Source organism: Homo sapiens, chromosome 18 (assembly GCF_000001405.40).
Source record: "Homo sapiens chromosome 18, GRCh38.p14 Primary Assembly".
NCBI classification, from domain to species: Eukaryota; Metazoa; Chordata; class Mammalia; order Primates; family Hominidae; genus Homo; species Homo sapiens.
Genome location: NC_000018.10, coordinates 79337936 through 79358434, shown reverse-complemented (window position 1 = coordinate 79358434; position 20499 = coordinate 79337936). Strand labels below are relative to the sequence as shown.

At 49.0% G+C, this 20499-nt stretch overlaps 2 protein-coding genes and 1 long non-coding RNA gene across 38 annotated transcripts in view; 1 reads left to right on the top strand and 2 right to left on the bottom strand.

Moving 5' to 3' along the window:
- The window catches only part of ATP9B (ATPase phospholipid transporting 9B (putative)), a 308890-nt gene that overhangs the window by 19849 nt on the left and 268542 nt on the right, over nucleotides 1-20499 (bottom strand). For 27 of the 36 annotated variants that reach the window (NR_148360.2, XM_017025726.2, XM_011525963.3 and 24 more), the window contains 6 exons: nucleotides 16069-16167; nucleotides 14081-14170; nucleotides 12863-13007; nucleotides 12596-12660; nucleotides 10510-10665; nucleotides 10239-10303 (listed from right to left, as the gene is read on the bottom strand). Coding sequence is in view for 35 of the 36 variants with exons in the window: in XM_017025726.2 (XP_016881215.1) it covers nucleotides 10239-10303; nucleotides 10510-10665; nucleotides 12596-12660; nucleotides 12863-13007; nucleotides 14081-14170; nucleotides 16069-16167 (620 nt within the window). In the remaining variant the exon portion in view is untranslated. The remainder of the gene's footprint in view (nucleotides 1-10238; nucleotides 10304-10509; nucleotides 10666-12595; nucleotides 12661-12862; nucleotides 13008-14080; nucleotides 14171-16068; nucleotides 16168-20499) is intronic. The other 9 variants (XM_017025731.2, XM_017025732.2, XM_017025733.2 and 6 more) reach the window with 1 other exon arrangement.
- LOC107985149 (histidine-rich protein PFHRP-II-like) lies at nucleotides 10672-12589 on the bottom strand. Its single transcript, XM_017026111.1, has one exon. It carries the CDS (start codon nucleotides 12481-12483, stop codon nucleotides 11821-11823), a length of 663 nt encoding a protein of 220 aa, XP_016881600.1. The 5' UTR covers nucleotides 12484-12589; the 3' UTR covers nucleotides 10672-11820.
- LOC124904332 (uncharacterized) lies at nucleotides 14394-18172 on the top strand. The gene is made up of 2 exons (XR_007066424.1): nucleotides 14394-14760; nucleotides 17974-18172. It is a non-coding gene; the product is annotated as an uncharacterized LOC124904332 (long non-coding RNA).

Genomic DNA, 20499 nt, shown 5'->3' with positions numbered 1-20499 from the left:
AGACCCAGAGCACCCCTCACACAGACACCTCCAGACCCAGGGCACCCCTCACACAGGGTCCCTCACACGGACACCTCCAGACCCAGGGCACCCCTCACACAGACACCTCCAGACCCAGGGCACCCCTCACACAGGGTCCCTCACACGGACACCTCCAGACCCAGGGCACCCCTCACACAGACACCTCCAGACCCAGAGCACCCCTCACACAGGGTCCCTCACACGGACACCTCCAGACCCAGGGCACCCCTCACACAGACACCTCCAGACCCAGAGCATCCCTCACATAGGGTCCCTCACACGGACACCTCCAGACCCAGGGCACCCCTCACACAGACACCTCCAGACCCAGGGCACCCCTCACACAGGGTCCCTCACACGGACACCTCCAGACCCAGGGCACCCCTCACACAGACACCTCCAGACCCAGAGCATCCCTCACACAGGGTCCCTCACACGGACACCTCCAGACCCAGAGCATCCCTCACACAGGGTCCCTCACACGGACACCTCCAGACCCAGGACACCCCTCACACAGACACCTCCAGACCCAGAGCACCCCTCACACAGGGTCCCTCACACGGACACCTCCAGACCCAGGGCACCCCTCACACAGACACCTCCAGACCCAGAGCACCCCTCACACAGGGTCCCTCACACAGACACCTCCAGACCCAGAGCATCCCTCACACAGGGTCCCTCACACGGACACCTCCAGACCCAGGACACCCCTCACACAGACACCTCCAGACCCAGAGCACCCCTCACACAGGGTCCCTCACACAGACACCTCCAGACCCAGGGCACCCCTCACACAGACACCTCCAGACCCAGAGCATCCCTCACACAGGGTCCCTCACACGGACACCTCCAGACCCAGGACACCCCTCACACAGACACCTCCAGACCCAGGGCACCCCTCACACAGGGTCCCTCACACGGACACCTCCAGACCCAGGGCACCCCTCACACAGACACCTCCAGACCCAGAGCATCCCTCACACAGGGTCCCTCACACAGACACCTCCAGACCCAGGACACCCCTCACACAGGGTCCCTCACACGGACACCTCCAGACCCAGGGCACCCCTCACACAGACACCTCCAGACCCAGAGCACCCCTCACACAGGGTCCCTCACACGGACACCTCCAGACCCAGGACACCCCTCACACAGACACCTCCAGACCCAGAGCACCCCTCACACAGGGTCCCTCACACGGACACCTCCAGACCCAGGGCACCCCTCACACAGACACCTCCAGACCCAGAGCACCCCTCACACAGGGTCCCTCACACAGACACCTCCAGACCCAGAGCATCCCTCACACAGGGTCCCTCACACGGACACCTCCAGACCCAGGACACCCCTCACACAGACACCTCCAGACCCAGAGCACCCCTCACACAGGGTCCCTCACACAGACACCTCCAGACCCAGGGCACCCCTCACACAGACACCTCCAGACCCAGAGCATCCCTCACACAGGGTCCCTCACACGGACACCTCCAGACCCAGGACACCCCTCACACAGACACCTCCAGACCCAGAGCATCCCTCACACAGGGTCCCTCACACGGACACCTCCAGACCCAGAGCATCCCTCACACAGACACCTCCAGACCCAGAGCACCCCTCACACAGGGTCCCTCCTGCGGCTGCTCTGCAGCTGCAACCACTTCCCTCTGCTGCCTCCTCCCTAATCCCTGGCCACCATGAATCCGTTCCCCATCTCTAATCTGGTCATTTCAAGAATGCTATGCAAATGGAATGCTATGCAAATGGAACTGTACAGCAGGTTAACTTCGGGGACTGGCGTCTTTTACACAGCGCAATTCTCTGGAGATTCATCTAGGTTGCTGCTGTGTCAGTAGCTTATTTCTTTCTATTGCTGACTACTATTTTGTGGCAGGCAAATGAACCACAGTGTGCTTAACCACTGAAGTTACATCTGGGTTGGTCCTAGTTTTTGATCACAAATAAAACTGCTGTAAATATTCACTGCACAGGTTTTTTGGTGAAGTTTCCATTTATTTTGGACAGGAGTGCCGAGTGAGATGGTATAAACGCCCAGGAGCGTGAGTGCTAGGTTTGGAAACGAGTGCCGAGTGAGAGGGTATAAACGCTCAGGAGCATGAGTGCTAGGACATCTTCCAGATGGTAGGATTTACACTCCTACAGCAATGTAAGAGCTATCCAGTTTCTGTGACTCTTCCTCACAATTCTGGCAGGCGTGAGGCGGAGCATCCTGTGGTCTAACCTGGTCTCTGTGGCTGACGATGCGCTCATCATTTCACCGGCTTGCTTGTGGTCTGTGCGTCCCCTCACACACAGGGTGGCCGTCTCTGCGCCTTCTGTCCTTTTCCTAACTGGACTGCCCCTTCATGGCTGAGCTTGGAGAATCTTTAAGCACTGCTGGACACGAGTCTTGCCAACACCCCCTTTCCTTTCCGGAAGCGGCCGTCACTGGCTGCAGTGTGCCGTGCCCATGAGGCCTTTCTCCGGCACTTGAGTCCCTCTGCCTGCAGGGTTTCCAGTCATCCCCAACGTACCCCGTCTCCTCACTGGCTGCTTTCAATGGGTTTGTCTCTGGTTTTCATCAGTTTGATTATGATTATCTTGGTGTGAATTTGACTGTCCTGTTCAGGGTTTGCTTACCTTCTTGAATCTATACATTTATGTCTTTTGCCAAATCTGGGAGGTTTTCACCTTTATTCCTTCAAGTAAGTTCCTAGCCCTGCCCTGTCTCTTCTCCCCTGGAACTCCCACGGCACAAACGGTACAGCGGCCGGGGCTCCCACGGCACAAACGGTAGAATTACCATCTTGCTGTCCCTGAGGCTCTGATCCATTTTTTTTCAGTCAGTTTTCTCTCTTGTTCAGATTGAGGACTTTCTGTTTTTCTGTCTTCCAGTTCACTGCGTCCTCCCTCTGTCCCTTCTATTTTGCTGCTGAGCCCAGTCACGGCATTTTTTTTTGTCTGGGTTATTTCTCATCTCTAAGATTTCCATTTGGTTCTGCTCTGTATCTTGTCTGCTGGGCTGTTCTATTTTGCCATTTGCTCCCAGTATGTTGGTAATGACTGTTTCCCAGTCTTTGTCAGAGAATTCTAGCATCTCTGCCATCTCAGGGCTGGCTTCTATTGACTGTCTTTTTTCCATTCACCTTGAAATCTTCCTGGTTCTTGGTATGGCAAGGGACTCTGATGGAAACCCCTGACATTCCGGGTAAAGACTGAATTTTCTGAAGGGTGCTGACCCTGCTCTGGTGGGGAAAGGAGGGCGCTGTTTTTGCTGCTGTGCAGGGGCAGGGGTTAAGGCTCCCCATGCGGCCTCTGCCGACACTGAGGGGCTCATTACCCCTTCACTGGGGATGCAGTCCTGCCTCCTCCCATTCCATCACCCTGCAGATGCCGGGTGCATCGCTGCATCTCGTGAAGTGGCACTTTCAGCTCTCCACTTGCCTTTTTGGGGAGGGGGAGGTGGGCACAGCCCTTCCCTGGCGTCTGGCTGGAGTAGAGTGACGATCATCTGAAAGCCATCTGTCTTCCTGGTGCCCCTTTCGTGGACCCACGGTTGGAGAGGCTGGGACCTCGCTGGGACTTTCAAATTTTAAATTTCTGCACCCATGGGCGTTTCCAGGCTGCCGGCTCCTTCAGCTCCAGCTGCTGGAAAACCCGGGGAGCTCCTGCCGCCTCGCCCCTTGCCCCCTCTGTTCACCTCGCTCTCCACTCAGAGCCTTCTGTTTCCAGCTGAACTTAGCAGAAGGAGCAGGGAGGAACCCATCTACCTCACCTCCCACCGTCCTGGAAGTGGAGCTGGGCCGGAAGTGGGGCTGGGTTTTTTTTTTTTTTTTTTTTTTTTTTTTGAGACACGGTCTCACTCTGTGGCCCAGGCTGGAGTACAATGGTGCAATCATGACTCACTGCAGCCTTGACCTCCTGGGCTCAGCTGATCCTCTCACCTCAGCCTCCTGAGTAGCTAGGACCGCGGGTGTGTACCACCATGCCCAGCTAATGTTCTCCTGTAGAGATAGGGTCTCACCATGTTTCCCAGGCTGGTCTCACACTCCTAGTCTCAAGAAATCTTCCCAACTCGGCCTCCCAAAGTGCTGGGATTACAGGCATGAGCCACTGCACTTGGCTGGGGTTTTTTTTGTTGTTGTTAAATGACATTGTCACCTATGAGAACACACTCTCATAGTTATCTCAAGTTGGGAAAGTTACCCCGTGGCAGAGAACCAGAAACACCCATGACACCACGTTATATTTTAGCCTTGAAACATGCGGATACCTAAAGGTTATATTCTGTTTTAATATGACTGAGATTCCACGGTCACTAAATGCAGACCGTTCTATTTTTAAAACTATTGTAGGTTCTATATGAAACATTTTCTTCTAAGGTACTTTTAGTCTATTTCACATCATTCTGTTTTCTTGATGAGTTACTGCTGGGCACTAAATATCTACATGCTTAGAGAACTCTATCCAGAAATTCAATCTTTAATTTCTTTATTACGTTAAACTTGTACAACACTGTTGTACTTCCCTCGAAATCTTTAATTACTTTTGTTAACTTTCTTTGAACAACCCCTCCCTATCTCTTCAACCTTTAACAACAAAAACCCCATTGCTGCCTCCTTTTCATAAACCTACTTTCTTGAGGTATAACTTTCAGCATGTGATGAATTTTGACAAGTGTCATGGAACCGCCGTGTGACCATGACACGGAGCATCTCCGTCACCCCCAAGGACGAGGCCTGTGATGCGCCAGGTGGGAGACCCCTGCCTCCCTCGCTGCCGTTGAGTCTCACATAAATGGCTGTTCCCCGCAGGCTAACACCTGGCTATTCTCTCTGGGTGGTCTCCGCTCTCTGCGAGTGGGTCTCTTCGGGCCAGCGGTGTCAGGACTCGCCCACCTTGCCGAGCGTGTCCTCTGCTTTCTCTGTGCTGCAGGCCAGCGTCTCACACTATGGACACAATGCAGCTCTTCCACCCCCTGGTGGATGGCCGTTGGTGTTTTCCCAGTCTGTGGAGATCACAGCTGAAGCGGTGAGAGTCCTGCTGCTGGTCTGCGTGGAAGCTCCCAGTCTGTGGAGATCACAGCTGAAGCGGTGAGAGTCCCTGTGTCGGTTTGCGTGGAAGCATGAGTGTTTTCCTTTTTCCTGGGTGAACACTGAGGAGGGAGGTTGCTGGGGCATGGGGCAGCAAATTTTTAATTTCATAAAAACTGCCAGCCTGCTTTCTGGAGTGGCTGGACCATCTGCACTCTCGCCAGCAGTGCCACCCTGCTGCCCGCCTGCCAAAACGCCACTTGGCCTTTCGGCCTGGCCTCCGTGGTAGCAGAGCCTTAACTCTCTCTGTGGCTTAAATTTATCTTTCCTGGTAACTAATGATGTTAAATACATTTTCTTGTGCTTACTGACCATTCTTATGTCTTCTTTTGTGATGAATGTTCAAATCTTTCATCTTAAAAACAAAACTGAGTTGTCTGTCTGATCGTTGAGTTGAAGATATGTACTGAAAGTATTTTACTCTTGTCTGCCTTTTTACTTGATTAGTACTATGTTTAGAAGAGCAAAAACTTAATTTTTATGAAGTCCATCATGTCAGTTTATTCTCCATGCATCACGATGTTCATGCTTAGGAAGTCTGTGCCAATCTGGGCACAGGTTGGGGGGCCCTAGAACCCACCAGAGCCTGGCCCTCCTCTGAGATTTGCACACACTGAAGTTTACTCTGACAAACTTCACAGCAGGTACAAGGACTCTTGAAACACAGAGGTTTCGAGGCCCTCTGGCTGTTGAAACACAGAGGTTTCGAGGCCATGTGGCTGTTGAAACAGAGGTTTTGAGGCCGTCTGGCTGTTCGTTCTAGATGTGGGAGAGTTGTTTCTCTTCTCTGAGGCATCCCTGTCCCCAGCTTCTTATCCAATGTCTGAAAACATTTGTTTCACGTGTTTTCTTGTGTTTTGCATTTAATTAGGCTTGGAAGATAAATCTGTTTATCACGGCTGGAAGCAGAAGTTCTCAAGACCCTCTCTGATAAACCCACAGAGCCTCCCGTTCCTGCAGGTCTGGACACGGCTCCCCGAGGGACCTGCCTGTGCTCCTCCTGCCCAGAGCTCTCTCTCGGAATGTCATGCACCTTCTTGGTGCTCAATTAAGGTTCAATCTGACTTTAACGAGAGCACTCACAGGCTATCCATCTGAGTCACTAGCAAGGGTAAAAGAAGACCCACACCCAGGAATGGCTGCTATGATGTGGCGCTGTGTGTGAGGTCCTCGCCGGCAGCTGCCAGAATCTCTGGGGAGACAGACACCTCTGGCCAGTTCAGACTAGCTTTTCCCAAAGCATTTTCGTGGAACATGAGTTGTGGGCTCATGAGATCAGAAGTCTCTCTCAGAGCCTCCAACTTGCCAAAGTGCACAATGCTGCACCCTACAGAGGTTCCCCATGAGGACTTGGCCTAGGAGCTCTCTTTCTCGGGGAGGGCATGGCATTCCCCAGGCCTGCTTGGGGGGCAAGGGCAGAGTGGGCTTGGGGGTCACAGGAACCTCCCCAGGCTGTCCTGTCTCTCCCAGCCCCTCCTGCTGCCCCATCCCCCATCCCCCTAGGCTTCCCCATCACCACCTTTGCGGCCCCCATGGTCCCTGGTCCCTCCCTGGGTTTCCCTGCTGTGCACTGAGTATGCCTAGTCCTTCCTGCTCTTGGGGCCTCTTGCTTCAGGAAAGTCACCTGGGCCAACAGTTCCCTCCAGAGCTGATGAAATGAATGCAGATGAAAACCATATTTGTGGAATTAAATTCTATCAACTGTCCTCTAGGTTCTAGAGCCAGTTTATCATAGACATGATTTTGTTCTAGTTAGATGTTATTTTGTAAAAACATCATGTTGATTTTTGTTCAATTCTTGGTATTTATTTCCTAGGTGAAGGCAAACTCATTATTTATTTTCAAAGAAGCTTAACTAAAGGCATCGCCCCTCCAAAGCTCCCACCTAACCCAATTCAGAGTATGAGTGCTTAAGAAAGTCACAGACGTTTCTTTTGTGACGGACACTCAGAGTTACTTTACATGAAGCCCATTATAAAGAAGAGCTGTAGGAACAGGAGCTGGGGACGCTGCAGAGCACTCGGGCTGTGAGGCAGGCACAGGCCTCACTAACCCAAGCAGTAGTTCTTTAAAGAATAATCTCCATGGTCCCCCACATTTTCCTTTTCATGTTTCAAATCCATGATTTTTAAAATATGAAAGAAGGTGAGAAGGGTTATGCTTTTCTATGACTTCCAAGGAAGAAACACACTGTTCAAACTCAAGATGCAATCAGTATTACTGTGCAAATTCTGTACTATTTAAAAGTAACTAGGCTGGACGAAGGGGCTCATGCCTGTAATCCCAACACTTTGGGAGGCTGAGGCAGGTGGATCATTTGAGGTCAGGAGTTCGAGACCACCCTGGTCAACATGGCAAAACCCCGTCTCTACTAAAAATATACAAAAATTAGCTGGGCGTGGTAGCACATGCCTGCAATCCCAGCTACTTGGGAGGCTGAGGGAGGAGAATCACTTGAACCTAGGAGGCAGAGGTTGCAGCGAGCTGAGATCACACCACTGCACTCCAGCCTGGGCGACACAGCAAGACTCTGTCTCAAAAAAAAAAAAAAAGCAACTAATGTAATAATTACTGTAAATATGTAGGCAATGGGAAAACTTATTTAAAAAGCGTTAGCACTTATTGTACCTTTAGGATTTTTCACCTTTGTTTGAAGTACTATAGGAAACACTACTGGAATTCACGGAAAGCTGAGAATATTAGCACAAATCCTACCACCATTTCCATCAACTGTATGGGCTATGAGTTGGTAGGTTGCTGGGACATTCTTTGGTCACGTAGAGTCATGAAATAAGGTTCAAGTTGACACCATGGACGCACAGTGCTGTCCTGTGCTACCTCATACTGGGGCTGAGGGAGCCTCAGCGGCCAGGAGAGCCCAGGGCCGATGACGGCGCTTTCCTTGTGGGCCACAAAAAGAGAGTCTGCAATGCTTACGATCATGGGGGTTATTCCCTGAGTGATTACAGCAGGCAGGGGCCTAAAACAGAGGCACTTGTGCGAAGATGAAGGGCTAGGGGTGAGAGAAGCCTGAAGACACCTGCGAAGGTTTCCCTAGGCTCTTACCTACTTTATTCAAAGTGATTTTTAAGACCACAGGACAGGCTGCTGCTATCTTGGGAGGAACGGTGCTAACATGTGCAGGCGAAGGACGTGGAGTCCGAAGCAGGTGCCCCAGGAGTCTTGGTAGCTGTGAGCCCCACAGCTCAGCTGTCCTGAGGCTTGGGGTGGGGGGCCTAGAATCCGCCAGAGTCTGGCCCTCCTCTGAAATTCGCATGCACTGAAGTTCACGCTGACAAACTCACAGCAGGTACGAGGACCCGATATACCTTGTGCCTTGTCCTTGTAGAGCACGCAGGAGAATAGGACGCTAACTGGTAATACAACTGCGCAGCCTGGGGGTGTGAAGGTGCATGGTGGGGGGGGGGGTGCGGGGCCTCCCAGGGAAGCAAGGACAATGGGGACATCTGGCAGTGGTCTAGGCCAAGGGGACATCATGTGTGGAGGCCAGAGGACAGAGAGGACCTGAAGACTGGAGACGGAAGGAAGGCAGAGACCCAAGTGCCAGCTCTGTGCATGCTCCTTGGACAGCTCAGGATGACGGGGGCGCCTCTCAGTGATTCTAACTCAGGAAAAAGGTGACTTAAGAGGACCTCACATGTTTAACAAAAACCTAACACACGCACAGACTGATATTTCCCTGTATTTTGCTAAAATTGTGAGGAACTCCTGGGATTCAGGGAGCTGTCGAGTGAAACGGTGTTTAGACTGCGGACTAGAAACAGCTATGCAGGGAGAAAGGACTCTGTTTCTCTGTGGACCTGGGGTAAGCTCAGTGGCTGCGTGACGGTGAGGAGCAGCACCCGGCGCCAGCCCCTGACAACTCAGGTCTGAGCTGGGCCTCCCACGGGTGAGTTCCTGAGCTCTCTGGGTCTCTCACTTTTCTCACACATGAAGTGGGGACAAGGTGAGGATGAAAGCACGTTCAACGCCAAGAGCATCGAAGCCAGTGGCTGTTACTATTCAAGTATTTTCTGAGACTCTTTGTGGAGTGGAACCTGGTTAAGGTGGGCATGAGCTTTGCAGAGGTCAGGGAGGTCAGTGGCAGATGAGAGGCTGCTTTTAGTTTGCTGCCAACACCAACAGTCACACTGATTTCATTTCTAGTCATAACCACAGAGGAGGAGGAAAAGAGAAATTCCCACCTATTCCCTCTTCACAGGAAGCTCCTGTTTTGCAGATACAGCAGCAAAATCAGCTCAGCTTTCAATGCACGTCGCATGCCTGCTGTGCTTTTGGTGTCCTTTTCTAAGACACTGCTGCTGTTATCTTTGTTTTTTGAGATGGAGTCTGACTTTGTTGCCCAAGCTGGAGTGCAATGGCACGATCTTAGCTCACTGAAACCTCCCCGTCCCGGGTTCAAGTGATTCTCGTGCCTCAGTCTCCTGAGTAGCTGGGATTACAGGCACACACCACCACGCCTGGCTAATTTTTTTGTATTTTTAGTAGAGACAGGGTTTCGCCATGTTAGCCAGGCTGGTCTCGAACTCCTGACCTCAGGTGATCCACCCACGCCCACTTCAGCCTCCCAAAGTGCTGGGATTACAGGCGTGAGCCACCGCGCCCAGCCCTGGTGCTGCTATCTTTGAAAATGAGATTCCATTCCTGCCCAGGAGAGACCAACAGTGTTTGCTTCGAAGCATGCCACACCATGTCCCTGCACTTCCTGTTCTCTCTTTGCTGCTGGCCACGCCGCACAACAGGATGAAGCCCCAGCCAGGGGAGGGCAGCCTGCAGAGAGCCGGGAGGGCCTGTCAGTGGCCACTCTGCCCCTCCGCCTTCTGCCACGGGACCCTTTAAAAATCTCAGATCCAACACAGTTCCTGACACAAACTATGGCTTCCACTTGAAAACAAAATCTAATAAGAAAATCCCAGGAGGAACAAGTGTGCAGGTGCTGTCTTGAAGTTCACCCAAGTAAAATGTTGTTTTTACATCAGTATTATTCATTCTAAATGATGACTGTATCAAGAATCTTCTATATACGTTTTTTGTTTTTTTTTTTTTTTTTTTTTCAAAATAGAAGTCCTCCCCTGGATGAGCTGGCAGGTTCTGAGTGTAACTTACCCCACCATGAGGAAGCCCTGATACAAAGGGACGGATGCGAAGTAGAAGACTGAGGAAAACACAGCCTGGAGAGAGAGCCCACAGACGAAGACAACTGTCAGTTCCACGAGCACCTGTGGCCCCAAGCCTCTCAGGGGCCTCGCTAACTCCTAAGCACAGCCCAGGTACTTCCGGCAGCACTCAGCACCCCCACTCCCGGACCCTGCCCTTCCCGGACCCTGCCCTTCCTGGACCCTGCCCTCCATGGGTGCCAGCACAGAAGGCTTAGTACCTGCATGGTGGAGATGATAAGGCCCCTGTGCATGACGAACTGGCCGAGTGCCGCCGACCTCTTGTAGCTGTTCCGCCCGTGCACCATGAGCAGCCTGCCTATGTGCCGGAACTGCGTGATGGAGAAGTCGGCCGCCAGCGAGGCCTGTTTACCCTCCTGAGAGAAAAGCACACGGGGCCTTTTCAAACATGGCGGACGCTGGAAATCAGACTCCAAAAGTGAGTTTTAGAACTCAGCCTAAATGTTACAAAGACCGAAATTCTCTCTGCAGAACTTGTAAAGCTTCAGCTCCGTCGATGGGGACAGGTCCTATGGTCTCAGACACAGGGGCAGGAAGAGCCCCCAGCACCAGCCCAGGCTCTCACAAGTGCTTCAGGAGAGCTCGGCTCTGACAGACCATAGGTGTCACAGGAGTCAGCAGAGCTGCAGAGTCCGGGCCAGCCCTGTTGAAGGACTCCCTTGTGATCTGAGTGTGGGCCCGCCCTGTCGGAAGACACCCCTATGATCTGACATGGGCCAGCCCTGTGGGAGGACACCCCTATAATCTTGGGCTGCTTCAAGACAATTCTGTTTTTTCATATTTGAAGAAACAATCTATCCCCTCTTTCACAACGCTGTTGTAAGGCATTACAAAATGAAGTAGCCAAGGAAAAAGCCACGCTTGCTTGAGCTAGGTGAATTTTCCAGGTCTTTCTGGGTGTGTCTGTATTAATATTTAAGTGACTGTGGAGAAGGAGAGAGTAACACAGATAAAGCTGGCACGGAAGATGAACCTCAAACCACAGCTCAGTTGGCCAGGAGACACAGGCAACCACACAGAGAATGGTGCGTGGAAAACAGGAGGGAGGCCATGGAAAGGCTCGCCGAGGGATCTGCTAACATCTGAGCTGAGCCCTAGGGCAGGTGACTAAGAGTGACACCTCCCTGTACGCCAGTCCGCCAACAGCAAGTCGCCGAGGGCTAGGCTGTAATGCACGTGGCAGGATTGACATTATGAAATGTGAGGTCAAAGCGGGGGACTCCGACCAATTCCTCCTTTATTCAAATGTACAGTTCAGTGCCCGGGACACACCAGGCTCTTCAGGCTGTGCTGACTGTGTGCTGACCACACGTGTTGACCAAGTGCGCATTCACCGAGCATGTGCTGACTGTGCCGACCAAGCATGCGGTGAGTATGTGCTGAGTGTAAAATGACCAGGCATGCACTGAGCACGTGCTGACGTGCGCTGACCGAGTGTGTGCCGAGTGTGTGCTGACTGTGCACTGAACACATGCTGAGGTGCGCTGAGTGTGTGCCAAGCATGTAGTGTGCTAAATGTGTGCCGAATGTGTGCTGACTGTGCGCTGAGCACGTGCTGACGTGCGCTGACCGAGTGTGTGCCGAGTGTGTGCTGACTGTGCACTGAACACATGCTGAGGTGCGCTGAGTGTGTGCCAAGCATGTAGTGTGCTAAATGTGTGCCGAATGTGTGCTGACTGTGCGCTGAGCACGTGCTGACGTGCGCTGACCAAGTGTGTGCCAAGCATAGTAGTGCTAAACAAGTGTACCAAGTGTGCTGAGCATGTGCTGACGTGCACTGACCGTGTGCTGAGCATGTGTAGTGTGCTAAACGAGTGTGCCAAGTGTGTGCTGAGCATGTGCTGATGTGCACTAAGCACGTATGTGCCGTGTGTGCTGACTGTGCGCTGAGCACATGCTGACGTGCGCTGACCGAGTGTGTGCTGTGTGCTGACTGTGCGCTGAGCACGTGCTGATGTGCGCTGACCGTGTGCTGAGTGTGTGCTGACTGTGCGCTGGGCACAAGCTGACGTGTGATGACCGTGTGCCGAGTGTGTGCTGTGCGCTGAGCATGTGCTGACGTGCGCCGACCGAGCGTGTACCGAGTGTGTGCTGACTGTGCGCTGAGCACGTGCTGATGTGTGTTGACCAAGCATGTGCTGAGTGTTTGCTGACCGAGCGTACGCTAAGCACATGCTGACGTGCACTGACCAAGTAGGTGCTGAGTGTACAGTGGCCCAGCATGTGCTGAGTCGTGTTGATGTGTGCTGACTGTGTGCTAATGTGTTGATAAAAGGGCGAACCTACCTTTCCCTCAATCCCAATCCCACAGTCTGCTGCCTGAATCATGCTGACATCATTTCCTCCATCACCTGCGAAGCAAGAAAAGTGAGATGAAATAAAACCTTATCCATCATCACGTTTTTCATTTTTACCATCAGAAGCTATTTCAGAAACTTCCATGAATGGAGATGAAATCAATCTAGTTTTAGAGATGGAACAAACTTTGCCCATCAATGTCAGCCTACGGGTTTCTCTGGAGACCTCCCTGTGAGCAGGGTGGGCGGCTCTCACCGATGGCGCAGGTGCGTCTCCCTGTGTGCTGCTGCAGCAGTGTCACAATGCGGGCCTTCTGGGTGGGTGAGCAGCGGCAGCAAACCACGGCAGGGCACTGGCAGGCCAGCTCCACAAATTCATGCTCGTAGTACTTTAGACAAACCTGGAAAACAAAGCCTGTGTTATTTTGCCTTATGGTCGACAACAGTGTCCCAGATTTGTGTAATGTAGAAAGTGCAAAACCATGGGAGCAAAGCCAACAGACGCCACAGTTCTCAATCTTTTCAGTTTTCTGTGAATCATTTCACAGGACTCACGGACAGGGGAAAATAAAAAATCATGGGAAGAAATTCTATGTAACATGGAACCATCCTTCTCCTGCCTAGGGAAGTTCTTCCACTTGAAGTACCAGAGAGAATCCTCCATGATTTGAGCTACGACATGACCTTCTGGTCTGATCCCCCTCCCCTGGAATCCAAGCTGCCTTAGTGACTTTCTTGAAAAACATCATGTGACCCGGTGACGTTCTGGGGCAGCTTCTGCCAGATTTCTTGGAGTGCTTGCTCTGAGGACACTAGCAACAACAGAGGTCCAGGACGATTAAGCCCAGGAGCCTGTGCAAAAGCTGTGCAGGGGGAGGCTCCCACCAGCCCCGGTGCCACAGTTCCCTCAGCCGGGGGCCACCGTGCGAAGAAAACGAGGCATGAAGCTACTTTGGACATTCCTGCTCCAGCGGATGCAACATGGAGAGGACAGAGAGCCAGAACCAAGGCGCTGGACAGGCTCTTGTCGCTCCTCCTCCAGGTCTCCTGCAGCACTTGCAGGCTCTCAATGTCTAACAGAGGAGTAACAATCACTGCGACCCAGCCCAGCTTTCAGGCTCTCAATGTGTCAAGGAGGAGTAACAATCGCTGTGATCCAGCTCTGACATCTCCTCAGGCTGGGGCTGCTTTCCAGAGCGGCAGATACCGCTGCTACGAAATGGAAAACTGCCTAAAAACAGCATGAATGGGCAAAAGCACTTGACTCAAGAAGGCCTTGATGCACTGGAATGGACAGACAGACACACACTGGGCCAGGGTCCAGCCTTGCCTCAGAGACACAGACAGACAGACAGACAGACATGTACTCACTCAGGGTCCAGCCTTGCCTGAGAGACAAACAGACACTCAGCCAGGGACCAGCCTTGCCTCAGAGACACAGACAGACATGTACTCACTCAGGGTCCAGCCTTACCTCCAGAGAGTCCCCAGATATGACTAGTGCACAATCATGCTTCCTTCGAAATGCATTCAGCTCCAAATGTGCCTCTCCCCGACTGGTTACCTCCATTAAGGGAGAAAAAGAATCCCAAATTAAAATGTTGTCTAAGTTACAGGCACAGAGAAACAGGGCATTATTTGCAGAGTCACAGTGGAATGTTCTGGGGTTATTATCTAAAACCAAAGGAGCTTTAGTATTTGGACCCGGAAGAAGGTCCTTTCCAATTCCTCCAGCAGTGCTGGGTGTGTCTATCCACTCAGTTAACGCCAATCATTTTCAAATTTGTGGCAACTGCAAGCAGGAAACGTATAGTGAGGAATGCAGTGGAATCACCACTCTGATGAAATTTGTGTAAAGGGTGCCTATGAGTTAATAATTACCTTCTGGATAGTTTGGGAGGGTAATTGCCTTTTATACATACACTCCCTTAACATACAACGATAATGATTAAGAATTTTCTTGTAATTCCCACGAGGTGATTATTTAACAGAGCAACAGGCCAGGGTAGGCTGGCGTGGGGAGCAGCGCTGCTGAGAGTCACTGACTCGCAGCGTTACGGACACGGCTCTGCAGAACGAGGCTTGCACCCAACAGAGCACCAGAGCCCAGGGAGGCCGAGCTCCTCATCGCCACACATCATCGCCACACATCGGGTAAGAGACAGGACGCTCTCAAATCAAGGTGTTATGTAAATACATCTCTTTTCATAATAGGTCAAATAATGCAAAATACTTAATTGCTTGTGTTGTCTCTGCCATGGGTTTCAACTTACTCCATTAGTTTAGTTTTTACCCAGTGTCTGAGGGATTTTTAAAAAAACCTAAAAGAGTAAAAGTAAGTCATAATCTTGAAATATCATTTGTTTTAGAACAAAAATATTTCAGAAACCAATGTAAGTGGTTTTTCATATTCCTTCTGTGGAGATTTTATGGAGCATAAAAGAAATGATATATTAATAGTCCTATTAATAGGACTGAAATAAATTAAAAGCTTCATGTGGTTCAAATTAACAATCTCAGACTCATCTTTAAATAGGTAGGTTTTATTGTGAAAAATTTAATTTGTGGTGCTATAACACTGAAAAGTCAACAAAAATTGATCTGAAGTTTTATCAGAAGCATTAATAATTTAATTGCAAATAGTAGTCTTCAGGGCCTAATTTGTGATTCTGATGCTTCAAAACAAACTACATTTACATATAAATTATATTCAAATAACTCCTTCTGTAGGTGCAAGCGATTCATTTAGAACAGACGCAGACACAGAATGTCTGTTCACTCACCATAAATCAAGACCAAGAAATTCTTATTTTTTGTTTGAATTAAATTTAGTCATAACTAATACATACAGTAAACACATAAACTTAGATCATTTCTATTAATTTTCTTTGAACTAGTTAAGGCAGCACTTGCTCTGAAAATGGCAGTGATTAAAAACACATTTCTATTTTGTATTTATAGCTTGTTTCACAACAGCAGCTTCTGGACAACATGTAACACGTATAACTTGTAGAAAAATGTAATTTTTTTAATCAATATACATTTTTACAAATTGAAAATAATTGCAGTATGCCTCTTTTAAAATAGCAAATAATACTAATAGTATAAGCAAAAAATACTTCTGAACTTAGAGCTTGTTCATTCCGTCAAAAAGCAGCTTTGATCATGATTAATGTATGTGGCTAAAAATATCTATTTTAACATGCTTTTTAATTAATTAATTATTTATTTATTTTTTATTATTATACTTAAAGTTTTAGGGTACATGTGCACATTGTGCAGGTTAGTTACATACGTATACATGTGCCATGCTGGTGTGCTGTTATAAATTAAAAAAATTACAGTAGTTCTTTTTAAAAAGATATTTAGTGATTAATAAATATATATTCTGACAAAAACAATAGGCTTCGTTTGTGTGAGACAAATGTTTAAAAATTCAAAGTGATTAAGATACATACTTACCTGTCTGAAAATATGAATATCTTGTGTTCTAGACACGAGATGTGAACTTTTGGCAATGCAGGTAGCTGTCTCGAGTTTATCGCCTGTTAGCATCCATATCTAGGGAACAATTTAAACTGGTGAATTTCAACAAGACAAGGACACGTTCATTTCTGATGTCTCACATAATTCACAACAGCCAAAAGGTGGAAGCAACCCAGGTGCCCGTCAATAGATAAATGAATGAGCAAAATGTGTTCCATACATACAATGGAGTATTATTCAGCCTTAAAAAGGATGGAAATTCTGATACAGGCTGCATTGTGGTTCAACCTTGAGGACATTACGCTGAGTGAAAGAAGCCAGTCACAAAAGGACAAATACTGTATGATCCCATTTCCATGAGGTCCCTAGAGCCATCCAATCCACAGAGAAAGAACTAGATGGTGGGTGCCAGGGTTTAGGGGAAGGGGAATGGGGAGATGGACAGTTTCCGTTTAGGAGGATGGAACAGTTCTGGAAGGGGTGGTGGTGATGGCTGCACAAGAATCGGCAACGCAAACTTCAACAAGGTCACGCTACACACATCCAACCACAACTAAATGGTGTGTCGGCAACGCAGGCTTCAACAGGTCACGCTACACACATCCAACCACAACTAAATGGTGTGTCGGCAACGCAGGCTTCAACAAGGTCACGCTACACACATCCAACCACAACTAAATGGTGTGTTGGCAACGCAGGCTTCAACAGGTCACGCTACACACATCCAACCACAACTAAATGGTGTGTCGGCAACACAGGCTTCAACGAGGTCACGCTACACACATACAACCACAACTAAATGGTGTGTCGGCAACACAGGCTTCAACGAGGTCACGCTACACACATCCAACCACAACTAAATGGTGTGTCGGCAACACAGGCTTCAACGAGGTCACGCTACACACATCCAACCACAACTAAATGGTGTGTCGGCAACACAGGCTTCAACGAGGTCACGCTACACACATCCAACCACAACTAAATGGTGTGTCGGCAACACAGACTTCGACGAGGTCACGCTACACACATCCAACCACAACTAAATGGTGTGTCGGCAACACAGACTTCGACGAGGTCACGCTACACACATCCAACCACAACTAAATGGTGTGTCGGCAATGCAGACTTCGACAAGGTCACGCTACACACATCCAACCACAATTAAATGGTGTGTCGGCAACACAGACTTCAACGAGGTCACGCTACACACATCCAACCACAATTAAACAGTATGTGAACTTGCTAAGGTGGAACAAGCGAGAGCACAGTGATGTGTAGATACAGCAGCTGAGATATGGAGGCATGTGAGTAACACCTGGGCCCGGCACTCAGAGGCTAAGTCTAATAAGGATAGCTGTGAGTGTCAAAGGTGCCTACCACAAAGGATTCCACACAAAGCAAGCACACAGGACTGCCAAGGCGGCACACAGTCAGGGTTTGCCAGGCTGGGAGGCTCATGAAGACCTTCACTGCAGTTTGCTAGTTTTTTAGTTGGAAACGGAGGTTCAATGGGTAAATGGCCCATAGTCAAACCAAAAGTTGTTTATGTCAAATAAAACATGTCAAATAGTAGCACTTTTACATTTAAAAATTGCATACCCATGCACATCTTATGTGTATATATATTCCTAGACGATAGAGTAAAATATCAGGATATTTAATACATGACAGGATATTTGATATATATAACAGCAAAGAACTTCCAGTAATATTCTCATTAGCTGAATTTCTCAGATTTCTTATGTATCATATTGAAATATGCATTTTTGGAAACAGGAAGCAGAAAAAAAACTTCTACAGTGTACTGATTATCTGCTTAAGCACGCTCCACCTGTGGCTCTTCTCAGTGTCTAAGATTTGTGCTTTTTATTTATTTTACAGACTTATATTCATTTACGGGACCTAAGAGTATGACACATCATCATGACAAAGTTGAAGAAGAACTAGCACTGCGGCAACCTGAGTGGGATTCAGGAAACGCAGTGAGGTCCCGCTGAAAATCACCTTCGAGTTTCAGAGGAACATCTGAAGTCAGACTTTACATAATGTAAAGAATAAAGAGCAAAACTCGAGAAAGTCATATAACTTAGCAAATAATTGATGTAAAGATCCAAATTTTAATGCAAGGGATATTCACTACTTTAATATACTAATAATCTAGCACATATAAAGTAGGAAGTAGACTGAGGTGAAGTTCACTAAAAAGTTACAGTGAAATGCAGGGGTCATATGCTCGCTCATTCATGTGTCGATTTACAGATGGGTCTTGCCATGAACTCTGGGGCTCGATTGAGCCTCCCGCCTCAGCCTCCTGAGTAGCTGGGATCCCAGGCACAAAGCACCACACCCAGCTCATCTGCTTCTCATTAATCACACTTCGTTATTCAACTTTTTGGCTGTACAATACAATTAAGTTTAGTAATCTAAACTTTCTGAGTCAGAATTGTTCTCTTGTAATTTTGAATTTCTACATGAACAATTACTCTGAAACCAGATACAGCCTCATGACGCACTTCCTACTGCGATCATGACATACTTTCTACTGCAATCATGCACTTCCTACTGCGATCTCAGATGGATATGATACAGCCTCATGACACACTTCCTACTGCGATCATGACACACTTCCTACTGCAATCATGATACACTTCCTACTGCGATCATGACACACTTCCTACTACGATCTCAGTCAGATATGATACAGCCTCCTGACACACTTCCTATTGCGATCATGACACACCTCCTACTGCAATCATGATATACTTCCTACTGCGATCATGACACTTCCTACTGCGATCTCAGATATGATACAGCCTCCTGACACACTTCCTACTACGATCATGACACTTCCTACTGTGATCATGACACACTTCCTACTGTGATCATGACATACTTCCTACTGCGATGACATACTTCCTACTGCGATGACATACTTCCTACTGCAATCATGCACACTTCCTACTGCGATCTCAGACAGATATGATAGTCTCATGACACACTTCCTACTGCGATCATGACACACTTCCTACTGTGATCATGACATACTTCCTACTACGATCATGACACACTTCCTACTGTGATCATGACATACTTCCTACTATGATCATGACACACTTCCTACTGTGATCTCAGATGGATATGATACAGCCTCATGACGTATTTCCTACTGCGACCATGACACACTTCCTACTTCAGTCATGACACATTTCCTAATTCGATCATGGCACACTTCCTACTGCGATCATGACACACTTCCTACTGCGAACATGACATACTTCCTACTGCGATCTCAGAAGGACATTAAATCTTACAAGTCTCTTCACCATGCAGACCTCTAGACAGCAAGGAAAACAGATGCCTATTTTCTGTCCATGGCACAGCATCTTCATCAAGGCTTGTGGGATGTATTTTTTAACTGAAGTTGGCACAGCTTTGACTTCTGACACTGTCCTTCAGTTCTGTCCCTCTAGTCTAGCTATGCAGCTTTTCTCTGAAAACCAAGTTACACTTTTTCCCATTCTGAGTCCCAGGTCCTTGAGGCAGTGCTGAAATAAATTATCTTAACCAATTTGCAGTTGACCTTTCGGCTTCAATGAGAACATGTGAGGAAAGCTCCTGAAAAATAAAACTTACACCATAAGTGCCAATTTCCCCTGTGCAGGAAGAGGACACATCAGTAAGTGAAAAAGCCAGAGAGCAGGTCGGTGGGCAGGGAGCGTGTGCCCCGCCACACAGCATCTGGGGGAAGCCACCAAGAAGGATGGTCAGGATGCCTAACCTCTCCCATCCAAGATAAACACTCGAATTTCACGGACACCATATTTAAACTGCCAAGGACCACACAGCTGGATGAGACGGGGCACTGCCTTGGGGAGTTCAGGGAAGGTGGGCACTGCCTGCTGGGAGATGGGATACTGCTGCTGGGAGCATGGTGGGGATGGGGGCATAAGCCACACAGCCAAGGTAGAGGGGGTGTCCTCCAGCTACGGAGAAGGTGCTGGGAGAGAACAAAGAGCCAGAGGGAGGACAAGCAGCTTTGCACCTGCCCTGTACGTCCAGGCGTCTCTGGGGCAGGCTCTTGCTGCTGAGCCCAGGGGCCAGGCACAAGTGAGAAGCAGCTTCCACTGGGTGTCCTTTTGTGCTGAGTTTGTGACAATGTGGATGCATTATTTCTTCAAAAACATCAATAAAATGAACAGATGTAGTGCACGTCTGAGTATTCTATATTCTCAACTCTAACATGCCCTGAAGCATGAGATGATTCCAAATGTGGCACAATTTAACCGAGAATGAAGCCGAAGCCCATGAGGTCTGGGTTCTCATGCACTCCCGTCCTCATGGAACACGTGCCGTCACAATGGACGTACCCTGTGCTCACAGGGGAGGCACAGAGACCCCTGCAGGAGG

Coding starts and splice junctions, on each gene's coding strand:
- LOC107985149 (XM_017026111.1), bottom strand. CDS start 12,483: ATGTGCTTAGCGTACGCTCGGTCAGCAAACACTCAGCACATGCTTGGT.